General features: G+C 41.1%; 1 long non-coding RNA gene across 8 annotated transcripts in view, besides 1 other annotated feature; it reads left to right on the top strand.

Moving 5' to 3' along the window:
• The window catches only part of EXOC1-AS1 (EXOC1 antisense RNA 1), a 58421-nt gene that overhangs the window by 18669 nt on the left and 16140 nt on the right, over window positions 1-23612 (top strand). The window contains exons 4-5 of one of the 8 annotated variants that reach the window (XR_941070.3): window positions 12209-12454; window positions 13231-13379. The exons of 6 other annotated variants lie outside the window; for them this stretch is intronic. This is a non-coding gene — a long non-coding RNA (EXOC1 antisense RNA 1). Of the gene's footprint in view, window positions 1-12208; window positions 12455-13230; window positions 13380-23612 lie in introns of those variants that run through there. One more of the 8 variants, XR_941067.3, reaches the window with a different exon arrangement.
• Window positions 7447-8646: an enhancer, noted in NCBI's record as "P300/CBP strongly-dependent group 1 enhancer chr4:56786864-56788063 (GRCh37/hg19 assembly coordinates)". NCBI's record gives its function as "activates an origin of replication core promoter dependent on BRD2, BRD4, P300/CBP, MED14 and CDK7 cofactors, with strong dependence on P300/CBP, by STARR-seq in HCT116 cells {active_cell/tissue: HCT116}" and the evidence as "EXISTENCE:reporter gene assay evidence [ECO:0000049][PMID:35650434]".

The following is a 23612-nucleotide window of genomic DNA, read 5'->3' as shown; positions in this document are numbered from 1 at the left end:
TACCAGAAATCACGAAGTAAATCATAGAGCCTTGACTTGAACTCAGGAAGTTAACACAATTCTGGGAATATAGCAGGCTGCCAAGAAAGGGAGCTCCGAAGGACAATGACCAAATATGGAAATATTCAGACAAAGATCAATTAAACTTTGTGGAGACATAGAGTTATCAGAGTCCTAAAAGTTCAATTAGACCAACCTCCAACATAGAACACAGACTTCCTCTGCAACCTCTCCAACAGATGGCCATCCCAGCTGCCACCTAAACAAGTCCAATGACAAAAGAGAGTGCTCTACTTGTTAAAGCAGCTCATTGCATTGCTGAACGTCTTTGCTGGAAAAAGTCTTCTTTATATGAAGCTAAAATCTGTTTCTCCATAAGTATGAGCAATTTGTTCCAAGCAATCAAAAGAAAATGAATTTTTTGTCTCATGCATGTGATAACTCTTCAGAACAAATAACCCAGATCCTTCCATTTTTGCTCACTTGACATGGTCTCCAAGCCCATCCCTTATCTGGCTAACCCCTCTGGAGTAGAAACAGTCTAGTTTCTCGGTTTTTTTATTAAAATGTATTCCCAGAAATGATTGTGTTAGATTATGGCTGAGTATTGAGATATGCTTATTTCTCTTACTATACCTGCACAGCACACTCAATGTATATCAAACAGTCTATTACTGTAATCACCCAATGGGTTCATCCTTGCTTCTTCCACTGCACAGGCAAAACCAATTCACTGAGACCAGGGTATTGCAGTAAAGAAAGAGTTTACGTAATGCAAGGCAGCTGAGTGAAGGACTAGAGTTATCACTCAAATCAGTCTTCCAGAGAACTCAGAGGCTAGGATTTTTATGGAAAATTTCAGGGGCAGGGGCCTAGGGAATTGGTGCTGCTGATGGGTTGGGGATAAAGTCATAAGGGTGTGGAAACAGTCCTCATGTGCTGATTCTGCCTCTGAGTGGGGGCCACAAGACCAGCTGAGTAATAATTCATGGGTCTGGGTGGGGTCAATTGGTTTCCAGAATGCTAAAGTCTGAGAAACATCTCAAAAGACCAATCTTAGGTTCTATAATAGTGATGTTATCTACAGGAGCAAATGGGGAAGTGACAAATCTTCTGACCTCTGGCTACATGACTCCTGAACAGTAAGGGATTATAGAAACTATGTCTATATTTTAGGAGAATGTAGGCCCTTCCCAAAATCCTAATCTTGTGGCCTTTCATTAGTCTTATAAAGGCAGTTTCAGCCCCCCAACAAGGAGGGAATCCGTTTTAGAGAAGGACTATTATCATCCTTGCTTCATAGTTAAACTGTAAACTAAATTCATCACATGGTTAGCCTGGCCTATGCCCAGGAGTGAGTGAGTACAGCCAGCCCATGAGTCTACAAGCAAGATAGAGTCAGCCATGCTAAATTTCTCTTGCTGTCATAATCTTTGTAAGGGCAGTTTCAGCATTACATTAGCCTTTTTAGCATATGAATCACATATGCTCCAGTGAAGAACTATTACTGGAAAGGGGTCCCGATCCAAACCCCAAGAAAGGGTTCTTGGATCTCATGCAAGAAAGAATTTAGGGTGAGTCCATAGATTAAAGTGAGGCCGAGTTTATTAAGAAAGTAAAGGAATAAAAGAATGGCTACTCCATAGGCAGAGCAGGCCCAAGGGCTGCTGGTTGCCCATTTTTCTGGTTATTTCTTGATTATATGCTAAACAAAAGGTGGATTATTCATGCCTCCCCTTTTTAAATAATACAGGGTAACTTCTTGATGTTGCTGTGGCATTTGTAAACTGTCATGACACTGGTGGGAGTGCAGCAGTGAGGACGACCAGAGGTCACTCTCGTGGTCATCTTGGTTTTGGTGGGTTTTGGCTGGCTTCTTTACTGCAACCTGTTTTATCAGCAAGGTCTTTATGACCTGTATCTTCGCTGACCTCCTATCTCATCCTGTGACATAGATGCCTTAACCATCTGGGAATGCAGCCCAGTAGGTTTCAGCCTCATTTTACCCAGTTCCTATTTAAGATGGAGTTGCTCTGGTTCACACACCTCTGACAGAACCATGCACAGTCTTCTTTCAATGGCTGATAGGTTTTTAATACCTGTATTTATTTATGTTATTCTGAATGCAAATATAAAGTTTCTGGAGCAGAGAACAAAGTTATTATAATTCATGTCAATAACTATCAGTTCCCTTGCCCCAACCCCCTAGAGTGATATGATGAAAGCCAGATGTCCTCTTATATGTACTAGGTTCTGTACTGCAGGAGAGAAAGCCCCCCTCAAAATTATGAATCTGAGAGCTTATATACGAGAGGGTCAGCTTTCTCTTTTCCCCTTCTGAGAAAGGCAGAGAAACCTCTGCTTTCTAGTGTACACCAATTTTGCTGGGGAAGCAAAGGGAAAGGTCTGGGCTTCTTACCTTTTGGAATGCAAATAAGTGTCTGGGGGAAGATAAGAGAAGCTTCTCCTCATTTACAGCTCTTGGGATGTTTTCTTGGTTGCAGGTTTTACCCCCTCCCACCCTGCTCCTCTGAAGTGTAAACACAGACCTCTGGGGAGACAAATCTCTCTACAGTTGTCTCATTACCTATTCAGTCATAGTCATAATTTAACTTCTAAAGCTTGTTCTTTAATCTGGACTCCAGAAAAACTTGCTCAGAAAGTCCTAACTGTGCAGAAACATGAAAATACTCACTTGTTGACTTGGGCTTGATACAGGTCTATTTCCTAGGTCCAGGCTGGCTTGCCCACTTGTTTCTTGTCTCTCTCTCTCTCAAGGGAGGAGGATCCCCAAAGAACCCACAGCAAAAAAGACAGGTTTAAACACCTGGTAGGGCCAGAGGGCAGAGGCTGGGTCATAGCAGTACTGGTCAAGTGAGAGCTCTCCTGCTCTCCATCAGCAATTCAGGGAGGGGAAGAATGGAAGTGGGCATGATTAGAGTAAAGAACGTGACCGTGACCACCTCCCTTTTCTTCTCTGCTGGCAGCAGGCCCAAGCTGGAGAAGGATGAGAATATTGATCATAAGCTGTGTTTAAAGATTTGGTTATAAAATGGAACTAGATATTTTAATTTCTGATTAAGGGCTTGTTTTACAACAGAGAAACCAGAAAAGTCATGGATTTTGCCTGAGTTATTATCCAGGAGCAAGGGGAAGAATTGGATGTGAGGATATAAAATTTTTTTTTTTTGAGATGGAGTCTTGCTCTGTTGCCCAGCTGTAGTGCAGTGGCGCAATCTCGGCTCACTGCAAGCTCTGCCTCCCGGGTTCACGCCATTGTCCTGCCTCAGCCTCCCGAGTAGCTGGGACTACAGGTGCCTGCCACCATGCCCAGCTAATTTTTGTATTTTTAGCAGAGATGGGGTTTCACCTTGTTAGCCAGGATGGTCTTGATCTCCTGACCTCGTGATCCGCCTGCCTCAGCCTCCCAAAGGGCTGGGATTACAGGCGTGAGCCACCGCGCCCGGCTGAGGATATAAAATTCATGTTTTGAGCCATTCTGAGTGAAACAATACTTGTGAGAGGCGTTCGAAGCAGAGCAACCCCATCTTGAACAGGGATTGAGTAAAATAAGGCTGAGACCTACTGGGCTGCCTTCACAGGAGGCTGGGTATTCTAAGTCACATGGTGAGATTGGAGGTTGGCACAAGATACAGGTCACAAAGACCCTGCTGATAACAGCAGTTAGCAGTAAAGAAGCCGGCTGAATCCCACCAAAACCAAGATCGCAAGGAGAATGACCTCTGATCACCTTTACTGCTCATCATACGCTAATTAGAATGCATTAGCATGCTAAAAGACATTCTCACCAGCACCATGACAGTTTACAAATGCCATGGCAATGTTAGGAAGTCATCCCATATGGTCTAAAAAGGGGAGGAACCCTTGGTTCCAGGAATTACTCACCCCTTTCCTGGAAAACTAATGAATAATCCACCCCTTGTTTACCATATAATCAAGAAGGAACTAACAATAAGTACAAGCAGCTGAACAGCCCATGGCGCTGCTCTGCTATGGAGTAGCCATTCTTTATTCCTTTACTTTCTTAATAAACTTGCTTTTGCTTTACTCTATGGATTTGCCTCAAATTCTTTCTTGCACGAGATCCAAGAACCCTCTCTTGGGTCTGGATTGGGACCCCTTTCCGGTAACATACTATCTAAACCTTGCACATAAATAGAGTATATTTATTTTTCTTCTTAAGGGAAAAATGCATTGGAAGAGGAATATTCTGATACACAGACAGGGCCTGTTTCACCTCTCTAACACTCCAAAATTGGATGCTAACAAACAGAACTTTCAGAAATATTCTCTACAGATACCTGAAGCCTCCAAGAGTTAGTACAGATGTATTAAAATATTCAAGAAGAGTTGGATAAATCAATGGATGCTAAAGAGAGAATGGGAATGCTTTTAATTTTCCACTTGACAAAATGGGATCAACCATGCTCCCTTGCTCCAATCCTCAGCAAATGTGCAGAGGTTTCACTGGGAAGACCAGATCCCAGGCTGGGTGCTCCATGGGTCTGATGCCATACAGCAATTACTTTTGCTGCCTAGAAGTCCCATAGTACCCTATGCTTCTTTTCATAGCATTTAATAGTCGTCTGTATTGTCATTGATTTTTAAATTTATTTAGCAGGATTGTGAATTTAACTCACATCGCATCTCAGAAGTATGGAGACATTATATAGTCCCTTTGTTAACGAGTCCAGCCTTCTTCCTTGAATCCCACCTGTGGGTGAGGAGTAAAAACAATTAACTTTTAAATCCTTCCTGGTTTAAACTTAATCTGATCTACTCACTTAGCAATCCCTTAAGAGAGGTTAGTCTGTGTAGGAAAAGAAAAGCTCAGCTGTCAGATTTCTCACCCTTTCAGCCCCAAGATGTTGACTAGGTGTTTTGTATCCGCGGAGGAATGGGGTTGCCTGACCCTGAGGTCTTGGGAACAGTGTCCTCCACCTTGTTGACTTTTATGCCCCTGGTAGCTCTCAGCATGGCTGGCAATGCAGCTGATGTCTGGGGCTGGAGCGATTCCTTATCAGCTCTCTCTGACTCCCTCGGTTTCCCCTGGGTCCTCCCTGCAGGACACCTCTGACTTCTGGCTGTGACTCCAGTTTAGTCCTGGCCTACCTGGTAGTCCTTCACCTGCCTCACCTGCACTATGGATCCCCGCCAGATTCTCATAGACTTCTGGGTCATAGGGCCCCCTGTGGAAACTTTAGAAGACTCTCAAGTTAAACCTCATAACCTCCCTCTACCTGGCCATGCTGGCCCCACTAGGGTTGAGATGAGGTAGCCTGCGGTAAAGTCTCTTCTCAGAGTCTCAGATGGGGAGTTGGGGAGAACGATGCCCTTTTGTCCTTGGTGTTTCCCCCAGTCACCTCATGCACAGTCAGGACACACATCTGACTGCGTTGCTTCTTCGTCTCTGTCCCTGGCTCTGTCTGTCTCTCCTTTTCCTTCCCCCAATTCTGGGACAGAAGAGGAATGACTTCCCTCCTCCTCTTCCTCTGTAACCCATCGCCCTTCTACTTAGAGGAGTTAAACCCATGGCCCTGCTCCTCTCCTTATAACAGGAGGGTGTCTTCTCTGCAGTATGAGAGAATGCTCTGAGTTAAGTCTCCAGGCTCAGTGTGATGGTTAATTTTATGTGTTGACTTGACTGGGTTGAGGATGCCTGGATAGCTGGTGAAACATTATTTCCGGGTGTGTGTCTGTGAGGGTGTTTCTGGAAGAGAGTAACATTTGAATAAGTAGACAAGATCCACCCTCACTAATGTGGGTGGCATCACCCAATCCGTTGAGGGCCTGAATAGAGTGAAAAGGTGGAGGAAGGGCAAATCCTCTCTCTCCTTGAGCTGGGACATTCATCTTCTTCTGCCCTTCACACTGAAGTGCCCAGTTCTGGGGCCTTCAGACTCAGACTGAATCACACCACCAGCTTTCCTGGTTCTCTAGCTTGCATATGGCAGATGGTGGGACTTCTGGGCCTCCATAATTACATGAGCCAATTCTCATATATATCTATAGTATGTAGAATATATGTGAGAAATATATTAATGTAAGTATACATATGTGAGGTGTGTGTGTGTGTGTGTGTGTGTGTGTGTGTGTGTGTGTGTGTATCCTATTGGTTCCATTCCTCTGGAGAAACTTGATTAATACACTTGGTTTCTAATAGATAGGGGATGAAGGTTAATAAAATAATTTGAAAAGTCCTCTTCTAATACAATAGCTTGAGGCCAGGTGCGGTGGCTCACGCCTGTAATTCCAGCACTTTGGGAGGTCAAGGTGGAGGGATCACTTGAGCCCAGAAGTTCAAGACAAACCTGGGCAACTTAGTGAGACCTCATATCTACCCCTCCTCAAAAAAATTAGCTGGGCATGGTGGCACATGCCTGTAGTTCCCACTACTCAGGAGACTGAGGATCCATTGAGCCCAGGAGGTTGAGGCTTCAGTGAGCCACTATTCTGTCACTTCACTCCAGCCTGGGTGACAGAGTGAGACCCTGTCTAAAAAAAAGAAAAAAGAAAAAAAATTATAATAGCCTGGTTTTTAAGGCTATTGTTTGGTTGCACAATTTTATTTTAAAGGTCAGAAATTGAGTATTAATTCTGTCTCTTTGCATTACATGTAAATTACTTAGAAGAGTGACTGGGACACAGTAAGTGACAAATGTTGCTATTGTATAACAAATTACTTAATCTCCTTCTGAGGCTGGTTAGTATTTTGGGCCCACTAAGAAAAATATGTTCCAGCAAAAGCAGAAGAGAAAAATCATATTAATAATTTCTAAGATATAAACCTCATTAACATTTACATTTTACCATATTTCAAAATTATCAACTCATATATGCTTGGAGAGAAATTCAAACAATATACAACTGTCATGATTACAAAGTAAAAGCCCTTGCTTAACTTTGTGGGGTTTTTTTGTTTTTTTTTGAGACAGAGTCTCGCTCTGTTGCCCAGGCTGAAGTGCAGTGGTGGGATCTCGGCTCACTGCAACCTCTGCCTCCTAGGCTCAAGCGATTCTCATGCCTCAGCCTCCCGAGTAGCTGGGATTACAGGCATGCACCACCATGCCCCACTAATTTTTGTATTATTAGTAGAGATGGGGTTTCACCATGTTGACCAGGCTGGTCTTGAACTCCTGACCTGAAGTGATCAGCCTGCCTCGGCCTCCCAAAGTGCTAGGATTACAGGTGTGAGCCACCATGCTCGGCCCCTCACTTAACTTTGAACATTTTCCCTGTTCTGGCCCCCATTTTACTCTTTTCCTTAAAGATGAAGACTAAATATTTTGGTTGAATTTTTTCACTCATCCGTCTCCTCCATTACACTATGAGTTTTTGAAGTAAGTAACCTACAGAGGTAGTTCCATAAGCCATCAATAAATGTTTGATAAATGAATAAATTGTTGAATAGTTAATGGACACAATTATCAAGTAATACAGAGTAAATTAAGTATCTTTTAAAAAATATACTGTTATATAAACTTGCTGGGATGCCTAGTTTTTTTTAGCTTTCTTGATAGGATTATATCTGATTATAATAGTTTAAATAGAACAGATATTAAATTGTCAGCATTTATTTTTATTTTTATTTATTTATTTTTGGGGATAGGGTCTTGCTCTGTCACCCAGGCTGGAGTGCAGTGGCACAATCGCAGCTCACTGCAGCCTTGACTTCTCCAGCTCAAGTGTTTCTCCCACCTCAGCTTCTTGAGTAGCTGGGACCACAGGCACCTGCTGCCAAGCCCGGCTAATTAAACAATTTTTTTTTTGGTAGAAATGAGGTCTTATTGTGCTGCCCAGGCTGGTCTTGAACTACTGGGCTCAAGCAATCCTCCCACCTCGGCCTCCTAAAGTGCTGGGATTATAGGTGTGAGCCACTGTGCCCGGCCTATGAGGTTTTATTTACAGGTTTCTTTTAATTGCTTCCTATAAAAGTGCTTCATATATAAGTGACCTTACACTGAGTAATAGAGTGAAGATATTAGATGATGACAAGGCATTTTATCACGGCTTTCCTGTTTTCATGTGACTGATACCATAGCAGTAATGTTCAAAGCTTTCATGTCTTATTTTATTTTTGATGTGTCATAAAGCATAGCCAATACAGCCTCTGCTCTCTAATGTGATAGAGTAACATGGAATGCAGTGGTGATTGATCAATTGGATTTGTCAATGTCTTAAAAAGTAGTAATATGATTCTTTTTTAAATTAAAGAAGACATAACTTTGACAGGCCGATTAAATTGGGGATGAGAAATGCCAATCCAGTGAATCAATTGTTGGCATAGACATAAGAAACAGGACCCAGTTTATGTCTAGTTTCCAGGACTGGTGAGCAGGGCTCTTTCCAAGGTCATTTTGGAGTATTCTAAACCAATTTCTTGGAAGGTCGGTTGAAAATAAAAGCCCTTCTTCTCTGCTTTGTCCCAAGTGGGCAGGTAGCAAATGTCTTTGCTTGGTGACCGTGCCAGGGAAGCACAGCTGAAGTCAGACAAGCCAGGGTTGGAATTGTGGCTGCATCACTTCTTAGCCATGTGACTTGGAAAACTGCTTACATGGGCAGCTGACTTCCCCTAGTGCTCTTGTTGTGAAAATTAAACCAGAGAGTACATTCTGACTGCAGTGCTTGGTACACGGTGCTCTGGGATAATCACATACGACTATCCATTTGGAAACAGGGCTCTGTTTCTAACCAGTATATGTTTGGGTTGCTACATATGGGAAGGAGCACGTCTTCACTTCCTGCTTCCACATCCACGGTCATCTAAACCAGCTCAAAAAATCTAAACCAGCTGTCGTCCTTTTCCCCTTTGCTATCTCAGAGGTGGAGCAGGGAGACTATGGTGTGGCAGCTACAGTGGTAGCAGTGGTGGAAGCCATGGATTGTAGCAGTAGTGATGGCATCTTGAAGCCAAAAGTTCAGTGATGGCCCTTTGACTTCTGGCCCTCCAGCACTTCCACTGATATTTCATGAATTTTTATTTTTATTATTATTATTATTGAGACAGGGTCTTTCTCTGTCAGCCAGGTTGGAGTGGAGCAGCATGATCACAGCTCACTGCAACCCTGACCTCCTGGGCTCAAGCAATCCTCCCATTTCAGCCTCCTGAGTAGCTGGTATTACAGACGGGCACCACTACACCAGTAATTTTTTTTTTTTTTTTGTATTTTTATTAGAGATGGAGTTTTGCCATGTTGCCTAGGCTGGTCTCAAACTCCTGTGCTTAAGCAATCTGCCTGCCTCGGCCTCCCAAAGTGCTGGGATTACAGGTGTGAGCCACCTTGCCTGGCCTAAATTCTTCAAATACCTAGAATGCTTTTGATTTTCTTCACTGAACTCTGACAGATACAAGTGCTTGAGGTCATTTAAATAAAATCCTGGCTTTGACCCTGGGTATCAATCTGGGTTACTACTGTTCTTTTCCTTCTTTGTTTTTTTTTTCTTTTTGAGATGGAGTCTCACTATGTCACCAGGCTGGAGAGCAGTGATGTGATCTCAGCTCACTGCAACCTCTGACTCCCTGGTTCAAGCGATTCTCCTGCCTCAGCTTCCTGAGTAGCTGGGATTACAGGCACATGCCACTACGCCCAGCTAATTTTTGTATTTTTAGTAGCGACAGGGTTCACCATGTTGGCCAGGATGGTCTCTGTCTCCTGACCTCATGAGCCGCCCGCCTTGGCCTCCCAAAGTGCTGTGAATACTGTTCTTTTCTTCATGATCGAGCTTCAGGGAAGAGTGGTTCCTTAATACCTAAAGCTTCCTATGCACCTTTGCACTTAATTCTACCACAATCAGGCTTTCTCTCTGCTACTGAAGCACTGATATGCCTTGACCAAGGTCAGCAATGACCAACCAAATGCCAATTTTAGTGGACTCTTTCCATCCTTGTCTTATTTAACCACTATTGGACACTGTGGATCACACTTTTCTTTCTGGAACGTGTTCTTCTCTTGGTCCCTGTAACACAATCTCTCCCAACTACCTCTTATATCTTTGGTCACTCTTGGCCAACCTCCATTGTGAGCTCCTTATCCTCTCTAAATTTTGGCACTCCCCAGAGTTCCAGCTTCAGAGCTCTTCTCTTCTTAGTATAATACACTGAGCAACCGAATAGACTTCTGTGATTTCTGCTACTGTACCTATGGTAACGACTCTCAAATCTCTACCCCTCTGCCGTATACAAATCCTTCATGCTCTGGGCACTGTAGACTCCCTCCTTTCTACCCTTCTGCCTCCAAATATGTTGAATTCTGAAAACGTCTTGCCAGGTGCTTTCATTCTCCCATGCCTTAACTTACATGGCTCTTTCCCCCTTGTTATTTCTCCCCCACATCCAAATTTTCCTTAACTATAAAAACACTTGCTTGTTAGACAATGTTTTCTTAGATACAATACCAAGAGCATACGCTGACAAAAGAAAAAAATAGATGAATTGGGCTCCATCAAAACTAAAATATTTTATGCTACAAAGAATAACATAAGAAAAGTGAAAACCTTTTCTGCAGAATAGGAAAAATTTTCTGCAAATTATATATCTGAAGAGGGACTTAAATTCAGGATATGCTGAAGAATGATGACAACTTGATAATAAAGAGATAATCCTATTTTAAAATGGGCAAACGATTTAAATACACGTTTCTCTAAAGAAGATATATAAATGGCCAAAAAGCACATCAAAAGATGCTCATCATCATTATTCTTCAGAAATGGATAAATCATCCATATGGATAAATCATAATGAAAAATGACTTCACACCTACTAAAATGGCTATAATCCAAAAGACAGGTAATAACAAGTGTTGGCAAGGATGTGGAGAAATCAAAACTCTCACACATGGCTGCTGGGAATGTAAAATAGTATAGCCACTTTGGAAAACAGTTTGGCGGTTCCACAAAAAGTTAAACATAGACTTACCATATGACCCACCAATTCTTCTCCCAGATATATACTCAGGAGAAATAAAAGAGTGCTTCCACACAAAAATGTACTCAAATGTTTAGAGCAGCATAATTCACAGTAGCTAAAAGGCAAAAACAATCCAAATTTCTATCAACTGATGAATAGATGAATAAAATATATGTCCATAAAATGAAATATTATTTGGCAATAAAAGGGAGTGAAGCTCTTGATACATGCCACAACATGGATGAACCTTGAAAATATAATGTTAAGTGAAAGAAGTCAATCAGAAAAAGACTACCTATTGTATGAGTCCAGTCGCTCATACAAAATATCTAAAATAGGTGAATCTATAAAGAAAGTAGGTTTGTGGTTGCTAGGGGTTGGAGGGAAATGGAGGGTGAATGCTAGTGAGTATGGGGTTTCTTTCTGGGATAATAAAATATGTTCTGGAATTAGTGGTGATGGTTGTACAACTCTGCAAATACACTAAAAGCCATTGATTGTAAAGGTTACATTTTGCATTTAAGTTGTAATATATGTGAATTACATAGCTCAGCAAAGTTGTTTTTAAAAAATCTCAGCTGGGCACAGTGGCTCATGCCTGTAATCCCAATACTTTGGGAAGCTGAAGTGGGAAGATCACTTGAACCCAGAAGTTTGAGACCAGCCCATCTCTAGAAAAAAAAAAAAAAGCCAGGCATGGTGGTGTGCATCTGTAGTCCCAGCTACCCAGGAGGCTAAGGCAGGAGGATCACTTAAGCCCAGGAGGTTGAAGCTGCAGTAAGCCAAGATCGTGCCACTGTACTCAGCTTTGGCAACAGAGGGAGACCCTGTCAAAATAAAAACAAACAACAACAACAAAAAAAAAAACAAAAAAAAACTCAGTAGCTTGCCTTTTAAGGCTCAGAATAAACACCATCCCTTCTTATTCACTCAGTTCATCCCTCAACAAATATGTGCTGCACACCTACTCTGACCCAGGCGTCATTGTTCTAGGAAACTATTGAAAGGTGTGGTAGATGGAATTTTCCAAAGATAGCTGCCGCAGTATATATCCCAACCACATGCTCTTTTTACAAAGTGACTGACACTCTCCATTGAGAGGTAGAGTCTATGTTCCCTCAATTTGAGGTATGCAAGGGGCATATCACTTCTCTGACCAATCAAATATGGCAGAAGTGAGGTGATGTAACTTTTGCAGGTAGGTCATAATCTCTTTCTGTGTGTGTGTGTATGAGTGTGTGTGTGTTTCTCTCTCCTCTAACATCTTCCCTTGGAACCTAGCCACCACGCTGTAAGAAAGCACAAAGTCTTCATAGAGAAACCATCTGGAGGGACCTCAAGCTCCCAGCCAACAGCCAGTCCTGCAAGAGGAGTGTTCAGCTGAGTTCAGTCCCAACCTGAGTTGCATCAACTGAGCTTTCAGACATCATGGAGCAAAGACAAAGCCATCTCTGCTGGGCCTGAATCCTAGGCCACATAATACACAAGCAAAACAAAATGGCTGTTTTCCCCCCATTGCAGTTTGGGGTAATTTGTTACATAGCTATAATAACTGGAACAAAAGGATATAAACAAGGAAATCTGTATGATCTGTTCATATTTTAAAATGCCATTTTGGCTCCTATGAGAAGAATAGATTATATGGAGTAGCAGAAAAAGAAGTATCAAGGCTCCCTAAACTCTCCCAGCTAGAATCCATTCCTCCAACTTATTATGCATACTTCTAGAATATCACCTTTAAATTGATTATACTTATAGGCCTACATCTCTCTCAAGAATCTTAAACTTTAGAGGATAATTTTTTCTCTCTAGGAAAGCTAAAGTAGATCTTGTTTGAAAAATCCTGAAAGGCTTCCTTATGAAAAGAAATTGGCTGGGCGCAGTGGCTCATGCCTGTAATCCCAGCACTTTGGGAGGCTGAGGCGGGGCGGGATCACTTGAGGTCAGAAGTTCGAGACCAGATGACCAACATGGTGAAACCCCATCTCTACTAAAAATACAAAAAATTAGCCGGGCTTGGTGGCGGGCGACTGTAATCCCAGCTACTCTGGAGGCTGAGACAGGAGAATTGCTTGAACCCGGGAGGTGGTGGTTGCAGTGAACCAAGGTCACGCCATTGCAGTCCAGCCTGGGCAATAAGAGCAAAACTCCGTCTCCAAAAAAAAAAAACAAAAACAAAAACAAAAACAAAATTGCTAAAATAGTTGCCTTCTTAGTCATGTTTGGCCAAATATAAAAGGAACAGAGGCCTTATGATTTAAGAAAGGCAGCAAACTGATAAAAATCCATTTCTTAATCTTCAGGTGATACTGTGGCCTGGGTGAAGACATCGTATCCTCTGTGTGTAACAGTGATAAGAAGGCTTACCTCGCAGGGTTATTACAAGACAAATGAAATAACTTTGGCACACTATTAAAGGCTTCGTGGATAATTAAAGCTTCACAAAAACCTTGATGAGATTCCCTCTATCCTCAGAAAATGTATGTGTGTGTGACGGTGTAGGGGTGGGGTGGGGGTTGGATAGGAGGCAGCAAGAGAAATGGATTCCTTTCTCGTCCTTTTCTCAGATCAAGGATATTGTACAATTTCATCCATTCACCCTGGGTATTTGAGTTTGAGTTCCCAATCATTGCCAAGAAACACACCATTGATTCATTTATTTTCATTTTTAAAATTTAAATTATTTACTTATTTATTTTTGAGACAGGGTCTTGTTGTGTTGCTCAGGCTGGAGTGCAGTGGTACAGACATGGCTTACTGCAGCTTCAACCTCCTGGACTCAAGTGATCCTCCCACCTCAGCCTCCCAAGTAGCAGGGGCTACAGGCATGCACCACAATGCCCAGCTAATTTTTAAAATTTTTTGTAGAGACAGGGGTCTCGCTACGTTGCCTAGGCTGGTCCCAAACTCCTGGGCTCAAGTAATCCTCCTGCCTTGGCTTCCCAGAGTGCTATAATTACAGGCATGAGCCACAGTGCCCGGCTCATTTCTTTTTAAAATTGAGTACATATTAGTACTGTGCTAAGCATTTTACAAGCATTATCTGATTTAATGCTTACAGTGAACCTATCATATGAGTATTAATCCTTACGTTTTACAAATAAAGAAACAGGAGCAAAGACATTAACGGTTAACTTACCTGAATAAAATTATATAGCCAGACAGAGCCAGGATTTAAGCCCAAGTTCTCTCTGACTTGGAGCCTGAGCTATTAACTCGATGCTATACTGCTATTGATCTTTCATAGATGCTGCCCAATGGATGGGCAACAGTAACTCAAAGATACATAACCCATTTCCTTTATAAAATCTTCCTTGACTTTATCAGACCATAGATATATCTAGCTCCTCTGAGTATTGCAACCCCTGCTATCTGTGTTATTTGTTTGGCATCTATGATGTACTGTATTGTCTTACATAGTTTATTTATTTTGTTTATATACATGTTTTATGCTTGTATCAATTGGAGATCTTTGATTGCAAGCTACAGAAATTGGCTTCAGCTAACTTAAGTGCTTTCTACCACTCCTGCACCCTAGCATGGAAGAACATTGGGTAATTCACAGAATAAAGGAAAACAGAACCACCTGACCTTGAGGTGGGATAGAAACCAGGACAACTCTTGGGGGTCTTTATAGAATAAACTTATGGGCAGTCTCTTTTGGTATGACCACAGGAAGGATTTAACTCCAACTACCTTCATTCCACCCAGCATCACTCTGCTCAAGATTCCGATTCCTAGCAGAGAAGTAGAGTGTCCGCCTGGTCCAGTTAGTTTTGTCATATGCCCAGTCCTTGTTGAGAGTGGGACGGTGGTGGATATTCCCACCAGGATCCAGCATGATTCTACTGTGATATAGAATGAGAGACAGTTTGATTTATGTACAGAGTAATTTGAGAGATTTTGTACTTTCTGTTGAAAAGCGATATAATTTTTCAGACAGAAAAATAAACTATGTGTATATGTCCAAAGACAAGACTAGACAGCAAGAAATTATTTAAAAGACAAGGGATTCTGAGAAGCAGCAGAAAAATCAGAATGCTTAGAATAGTGCCCTAGGGAGAGGCACATCATTCAGGCTTCATCGATAAAAGTCAGAGCCTCCTCCTCTCTTCTACTTGGAGTCCTATTCACTGTGATACATTTCATGGTTTGATCAATCTTACAGCAGATTACTCCTCCTGAATAAATAAATATGGACATGAATTTTTATGAGCACAGGGTAGACGTAGTACATTTATAGCTATCATTAATTTAAAGAAAACTTGGTTTATAAATTTCAAGGAAAGTTATCATAAGTAAATTTTAATACTACTTTAAGATTATTTTCATTCATATTAAATTTAAGGCTTCCAAGCTTTCTTAGGAAAGCATGTGGTATTTTGGATTAAATGTATTCTTCCAGCACTTTAAAATCCTTTTAGAAAGTTCTCCTGGACTAAGGGCTATAATATTGACTGGTCAATGCTGACCTTGAAGTTGTTGAAGAGCAATAGATATTGGTTTGGTTGCCACTTGGCAAAGCCTGGGGGATAAACTAAAAAGAACTGTTGGCCCACACAAACTATCCAAAGGCTAAATATCTCTCTTAAAATATGGCAAATGCCAGATATGTTAAATTGGAATGAAACAACATACAATTTCTCCCAAATAACCCTCACATTTTTCTGCACAAATAATGATGTGTCATGTACAAGACACAAAAGTACCATGATTGTGCTTCTCAAGACCCAAAAATGTTAAATAACTTGCCTAATGTTACCCAGTAAATGAGTGTAAAATTTGGGCAAGAATTTATTTATCCTATATAATCCATTACTCAATGAAACTTATATAGGACCCCCTAATGCTTAAAAGCAACGTCTAGATAACCTTTAAAGAAATTTTAGCCCACTGTTCTAAAATTTTAAATGACTGTGCCCACACTCTACTATTTATATACACGTTATTTTTACATATTTGCTGTGAATGCACACATATCATTCAGTGGTCTACATTTTTCTTTGATCCCTCAGTAGAAAACCTCCTACCTTTCCCCTCATATTGGACACAAGAAACCAAACTAATACCTCTCATTTCAAAATGCTCACCAGAGCATTTGTACATTCATCCAGTAAGGTTTTTAGTTCATCTTTTCTTCCCAAACAAGGACACAGCTTCTGTTCTCTATTAGCCCTAAAGCATGAATGGCACATCACTTTAAAACTAATGTGCTGGTTCATTCAACACAGAAACAACTCATTACTACTCTTGAGTAGTAAAATCAGGCTTATAAAACCATTAATGAAACAAAGTACTGTTCTAATCTACAATAGTGTGTGATGCCACATTTCACCTTCTCATTTTAATTGCAAATGGCTAGAGCCAGGCTACTGTTGAATATTCTTTTGCTTTTCCTAGAATACTTCTAGGAAAAAAAACCAAAAAGACAAATCACTATGCAGTTATAGGTCTCGTACTTTGAGTTGTATGTGGAGATTCTAAAGTGTAATTTTTGAATAACAAGATTTTAAAGTATGATTACTATGTTTAGGAAAATCCTGAGGTAGTATGCATGTATGTATGTATGTATTGATTGATTGATTGATTGAGACAGGGTCTCACTCTGTCACCCAGGCTGGAATGCAGTGGCATGATCACAGCTCACTGCGGCCTCCACGTCCTGGGCTCAAGCAATCCTCCACCTCAGCCTCTTGAGTAGCTGGGATTATAGGTGTGCACCACCACATCTGGCTAATTCTTTTTTATTTTTTGTAGAGACAAGTTTCCAGTATGTTGCCTAGGCTGGTCTTGAACTCTTGGGCTCAAATGATCTTCCCGCCTTAGCTTCCTAAAGTGTTGGGATTACAGGGCGAGCCACTGCTGTCGGTCAGAGATTCTTATTTGGCTGAAGTGGGTTGCAGATATCAGTATTTTTTAACATTTCCCCAGTGATTTTAATATGCAGCAGATTGGCACAAAATTGGCTTTGTGCCAATTTTGATTCTTTACCTTAGTCTGGGCATGTTCCTGCCTTATAAAAAGCAAAGTTCTCCAGAAGGCAGAGGTTGCAGTGAGCCGAGATAGCGCCACTGCACTCCAGCCTGGGTGACAGAACGAGACTTAAAAAAAAGCAGTGTTCTATTAGCAAGGCAGAGTAGGCAGTCCCCACAGCCCACAGTGTCTAGCAGAGGGCCTTATAGAAGTAGATCTAGAAAATCCTCTTCCCAAAGAGAGCATGTCTAAATTCTACAGGCAATAACGTTCGCTTAGTTCCCTTCATGAACTTAATTCAATCCACAGGCATAGGTTGAATTGATACTACAGTGTGTGCAAGATCCTGTATTGAATGCTGTGTGAAGTAAGAATTAGAGGCAGAGCACAATTTTCTTTACTTTGTGGGCCAACTTCCAGATAACAACTCCTTCACTCAGACCCTAGCATGAATATGTCTTCAACATCTAGTTACTGAGCTCTTGAAGCAAGGCAGCATATTAGGCACTGGGCTCAAGCAGGGAACAAAGTGAGCAGAGCCTCCACCCAACTGGAACTGACGATGGACAGTATGGCTGTGCTTTAGACACTGAAGGCAGTATAAAGAAATAGGAGTTGCCATTTCATCTTTCCATGAATTAATGACCTGTTCACTTTTTGTCTTTTTTTTTTTTTTTTTTTTTTTTCTGAGACAGGGTCCTGCTCTGTCACCCAGGCTGGAGAGCAGTGGTGCCATTTCGGCTCACTGCAACCTCCACCTCCCGGGCTCAAGTGATCCTCTCACCTTAGCCTCCTGAGTAGTTGTGACTACAGGCGTGAGCCATAATTTTTGTATTTTTTGTAGATATGGGGTTTTGCCATGTTGCCCGAGTTGGTCTTAAACTCCTGAGCTCAAAGCGATCCACCCGCCTCAGCCTCCCAAAGCCCTGGGCTCACAGGTGTGAGCCACGGCACCCAGCTCACTTTTTGTCTTTTTAAACTTAATATTTAGGCTAGGTGCTATAGCTTATGCCTGTCAGTAGGCTGGGTGCTGTGGCTTACGCCTGTCATCCCAGCACTTTGGGAGGCTGAGGTGGGAGGATCTCCTGTGGCCAGGATTTCAAGACTAGCCTGGGCAACATGGTGAGACCTCATCTCTACAAAAAATTGTTAAAAATTGCCATGTGTGGTGGGGGTGCATCTGTAGTCCCAGCTACTCAGGAGGCTAAGGTGGGAGGATCGCTTGAGACCAGGAGGTTGAGGCTGCAGTGAGCCATGATTGTGCTACTGCACTCCAGCCTGGGAAACACAGCGAGAACTTGCCTCAAAACAAAATCCCCCAAGCCCCCAAAATGTAATATTAATTAAGTACTTACATGTGCTAGATAGATACTAGTAAACAGAACAGTCTTGATCCAAATTATAAACCTTGCAATCTAAGTGTGGGAGGCAAGATACTGAGGAAATAAAGAGACAAATAAATATATTTCAAATTCAGGTAAATGCCAAGAAGGAAAAGAATAGGCTCTTAGGTGGGAATTATGGGGCAACATAATTTAAATTAAAGGATGACAGGAAAAGCTGTTTAAAATTAAATGGAGACAAGTATAAAATTCAGATCAGAACATATGCCTTCAATTTAACTTCTTCACTATCCTCTCTTCTAGTCAATTAGGCAAAATATGTAACTTCTAGAAAGACCCATCATCTTGTATGAGATCCAGATACGCATGTGAAGTTGACTGAGATGCTGAATGCAGAGAAGCCGTTCTCGCAAGACCACTGGGCAAGCAATATGCTCATAGGCTGCTGCTGCTTTGTCTTGCTTATTGTATTCTCCATTGCCTCCTAGAACTCCCTTTTGAAACTGCCCTGTAAACTTTATAAAATTAACCAGGGAAGGAGAGAGGGGAGAAAGGAAAATAAACCAAGTTTGCAGCATATTCAACATTAACCATGAGGTCAGCTTGCTCTCTGGCCTGCTTCTTCATGGTTTTGTGCCTAGTGTCCTAGAATCACCTAGACCCTGGATTACCATTTTCCTTAACCGCTCTATAGATAACAACTTTCACATTGTGAAATGTTAGTCTTCCCTTGGAAATAGTCCTTCAGGTCCTGCACACTGATCATGCTACTGACTCAGCTGGTCTGAAGGCTCCCCATGAGGAGTTGACTCACCAAAGAATGTAGTTTTCACATCCTGATGGATCCATCCCCCTTGTCTGACCCCAATTTTCCAACCCCTCACTCTCCATGATCCCCTTAAAAATTCCAGCCTGGAACTTCTCTGGGAGATGGATTTGAGGGTCTCCTCACATCTTCTTGCTCAGCACCTGCAATAATTAATTAATTAACAAAAATAGAGACAGGATATTTCTTGCTTTGTCACCCAGGCTGGAATGCAGTGGTGCAATCACAGTTCACTGCAGCCTCAAACTCCTGGGCTCAAGTGATCCTCCTGCCTCAGCCTCCCTAGTAGCCAGGACTATAGATGCCTACCACCATGCCCAGCTAATTTAAAAGAAAACTTTGTAGACACGGAGTCTCACCATGTCGTCCAAGCTGGTCTCAAACTCCTGGGCTCAAGCGATCCTCCCACCTCGGCCTCCCAAAATGTGGAAATTACAGGCGTGAGCCACGTGCCCAGACACCTACAGTCATTAAACTGTGTGTGGCATCTCCGCTATCTCTGTGTAATTGGTCTGTTACTGCAGCAGGCACATGAGCCTGTTGGTCCTATAACGCTTTCTCCATCTATGTTAATATATTCTTCTTCCCTGTTTCATCTATCCCACCGCCTTTTGACTTTCTTCCCCCATCCTCTCTTTTTAAAAAATTTTCCATAAGTTATTGGGGTAGAGGTGGTGTCAGCTTACATGAGTAAGTTCTTTACTGGCGATTTGTGAGATTTTGGTGCACCCATCACCCGAGCAGTCTACACTGCACCATATTTGTAGTCTTCTATCCCTTGCAACCCCCTCTTGCCGCCGAGTCCCCAAAGCCCATTGTATCATTCTTATGCCTTTGCATCCTCATAGCTTAACTCCCACATATCAGTGAGAACATACAATGTTTTGTTTTCCATTCCTGAGTTACTTCACTCTGAATAATAGTCTCCAATCTCATCCAGGTCACTGCAAATGCTGTTAATTCATTCCTTTTTATGGCTGACTAGTATTCCTTCATATACATATATCATATATATGAAGGACATATATCATATACATTCATATATATAATGTATGAAGGATATATATATCATATATATTGATATATATATACCATATATATGAAGGATATATACCATATATATGAAGGATATATATATCCTTGGTGCCTAGTGTCATTCAGAGGCACAAATGATGTAACTTTACACTTCAAAGCTTTGCAACTTGAACTGCAGGGGCTGTGGAACAGCAGCATTGATGCTACTTGGGAGCTTGTAAGAAATGCAGAATCTTGGGCGACACAAAACCTATTGAATCAGAATATGCATTTCAACAAGATTCCCAGTTGTTTAATAAATACAATGAGAAACATTGAAGTAGAGGATCCCAAAGCATATAGCCATGAGAACTAATAATCTTTGACACCATTGATATTACACATTTAACTTTCCTGGAAAAGCTATTTTTACTTTCTTAGTACTTTCTCATCTACAAATATTCTCTAAGTTATGATTTTCAACAGTTTGTTTAAAAGTTCTGTGTTCCTCTCTTGTTATCACTTCTAGCAAATAATAGTATAGATCTTTAAGGTTTATAAAACTATAACTGATGGGAGTTATCCACCACCTTTTAAGTAAGAGCCATATCACCTCATTACAATTAACCATTGCCTGCTAATGAAGATACCAGACACTGTTTTGTCCTTGGAGGTGGTATATGTTTATATCTGTGTCATCCCTGATATCAATAGAGAAAAGGAAGTGTTTGGCACTTTGAGAGGGAATTTGGTGTTGTGTGGAATATCAGCTCTGTTAATACCTGGCTTGGACCTTGATCAAGGCACTAAAATCTCCTTTGGTCCTAGATCTTATCTATAAATGTCTAGGTTTCATTATCTATCAGTAAAGATATATGCATATCCACATATATGAATTTGATTTTAAATATTTAAATCAAGTGTTGAATTGATATAAAATAAGATTTATGACTGGGCATGATGGCTCATGCCTGTAACCCCAGCACTTTGGGAGGCTGAGGTGGGCAGATCACTTGAGGCCAGGAGTCTGAGACCAGCTTGGGCAACATAGCAAAACCCCTTCTTTAAAAAAAAAAAAAAAAATTCGCAGGACATGGTGGCATGCACCTGTAGTCACAGCTACTTGGGAGGCTGAGGTGGGAGGATTGCTTGGGCCCAGGAGGTTGAGGCTGCAGCAAGTTGTGATCGTGCCACTGTACTCCAGCTTGGGTGACAGAGCGAGACCCTGTCTCAAAAAAAAAATTATAAACTATATATAGGATATAAAGTATCAGGATACAAAAAATCTGTGTATGCACTGTCCAGTTTAAGAATATTCTAATATCCCTTTGAAATCCTGTATGTCCCTGCCAGACACCATCCCCTTCCTTTCCTGCTCCTCCAATCACTCCAGAATTTTATCATTCTCTTTTCTTTAGTTTTACATTTGTAATCCCAAACCACATATTATTTAATCTTAAAGGTTTCTGAATTTTTATATTAATAGGATCATACTGCATGTATTTTGTGATTTACTTTCATCTGACATTATTTTCTTGTCATTAATGTACATTGTTTGTATAGCAGAAATTTACTTTCATTTTCACTACTGTATTGGTATTCTACTGAATGAATATATACCTCAATCTATCCATTCTACCATTATGGACATATGGGTTATTTGCAGTTTTTTGCAGTTATTTGCAGTTTTTTGTTATTACAAACAAAAGTAGTGATGGGAACTTTCATTAGACTTTGTATTAGTTTGGTGCAAAAGTAATTGCAGTTTTTGCCATTACTTTTAATGGCAATGACTTTGGCACCAACCTAATATTAATTCATAATACATGAGTTTCTTTGTGGCAGTGGTTCTCAATCCTTAGAGTACCAGAATTAGTGGGAAGCTTTTAAAAACCATAGATGCTTGGGCCCCACTCTGGACCAATTGAAATGTAATGTCTGGGGCCCAGCCACATGTATTTATAAGCACATAGGTTATTCTAATGTGTAAAGCAGGAAACGAAGGGGAGGGTATCTGGCAGAGACATACAGGATTTTAAGATCTATTCCTTTGGGGCACACACCTAAGACTGGAATTACTGAGTCATAGGTGACACACATCTTTACTAGATAATGTCAGATGGTTTAAGTGATTATAGAAGCATTTGTGTTTTGATGGCTTCACATCCTTTTGAATTCACATTTCCTTGATAACAAATAAAGGTGAATACTTCGTATGTTTATTAGCCATTCTGTTTCCTTCGTCTGTGAAATGCCTTTGTAAGGTTTTTGGGTTTTTCTGTTCTATGGTTTTTTTTTTTTAGACTGATTTTTGGGAGCTTAAAAATAGGCTTTGGATGCTGATTGTTTTGTGACGTGTTGCAGTTATATTCTCTTAATTTGTGGACTGTTATTTCACTTTCATCAAAAGACCATTAAGTTCTTATTTTTAATATAGTCAAATCTATTATTTTTTTCCAATTTGCAATTTTGTGTCTTTTTAAACAAAATCCTTCTCTGTCCTGAGGCAAAAAAGATATTTTCTTACACTGTCTTTGAAAAGTTCTATATAGTTTTTGCCTTTCACATTTAGGTATTCAGTACACGTGGAATTCATTTTGTGTGTGTGGTGTGAGACACGTGTTCCATTTTCACCTTTTCTCTTATGGACTACCAAATGTCTCAGTACCATTTATTCCAAGTCTATCGTTTCCCCACTGACTTGCCGTGCCACACGGGTAATAGTCCATTTTTTATGGTTCTGTTTCTGGGCTCTCAGTTTCATTCCACTGGTCTATTTGTTTATCTTCGTACCAATAAAATGCTGCTTTAATTATAATTCTTGATAAGGAAACTCCTTCCAGCTTCCAAGGGGAGTATTGGCTATTAGTCTTTTGATCTTTCATATAAATTTTAGAATCAGCTTGTCAAGTCCTACAGAAACAAAACCAAACAAAGACAGTTGTGATTTTGACTGGAACTGTGCTGAATCTTTAAACTTGAAAATAACTGCCAGCTGGTGCAGTGCCTCACACCTGTAATCCTAGTGCTTTGGGAGGCTGAGGCAGAAGCCTCACTTGAACCCAGGAGTTTGAGATCAGCCTGAGAAACATAGTGAGACCCCATTCCTACAAAAAATAAAATTAGCCAGATGTGGTGGTGCACATCTGTAGTCTCAGCTGCTTGGGAGGCTGAGGTGGGAGGATCACTTGAGCCCAGGAGATAGAGGCTGCCGTGAGCTATCATCACACCACTGCACTCCAGCCTGGGTAACAGAGCTGAGAGATCCTGTCTCTCTCAAAAAAAAACAAACAAAACAAAACAAAACAAAAAGGACTGCCATTTCTACTTTAGTATATGTGTTCTTATCTGGAAACATTAAATACTTCTTCACTTATTTTGGTTTTCTTTAATATCTTTCAGTAGTTCTAATTTCTCCATAAATGTCTTATACATCTTGTATTAGCTTGGGCTGCCAAACTATTTTCTCAGTTTTGGAGGCTGGAAGTCTGAGATCATGGTGCCAGCATGGTCAGGTTCTGGTGAGGGC

This window comes from Homo sapiens, chromosome 4 (genome assembly GCF_000001405.40).
Source record: "Homo sapiens chromosome 4, GRCh38.p14 Primary Assembly".
Lineage (NCBI taxonomy): Eukaryota > Metazoa > Chordata > Mammalia > Primates > Hominidae > Homo > Homo sapiens.
Note: the sequence above shows the minus strand (reverse complement) of the source record. Positions and strands in the feature narration are given on the sequence as shown.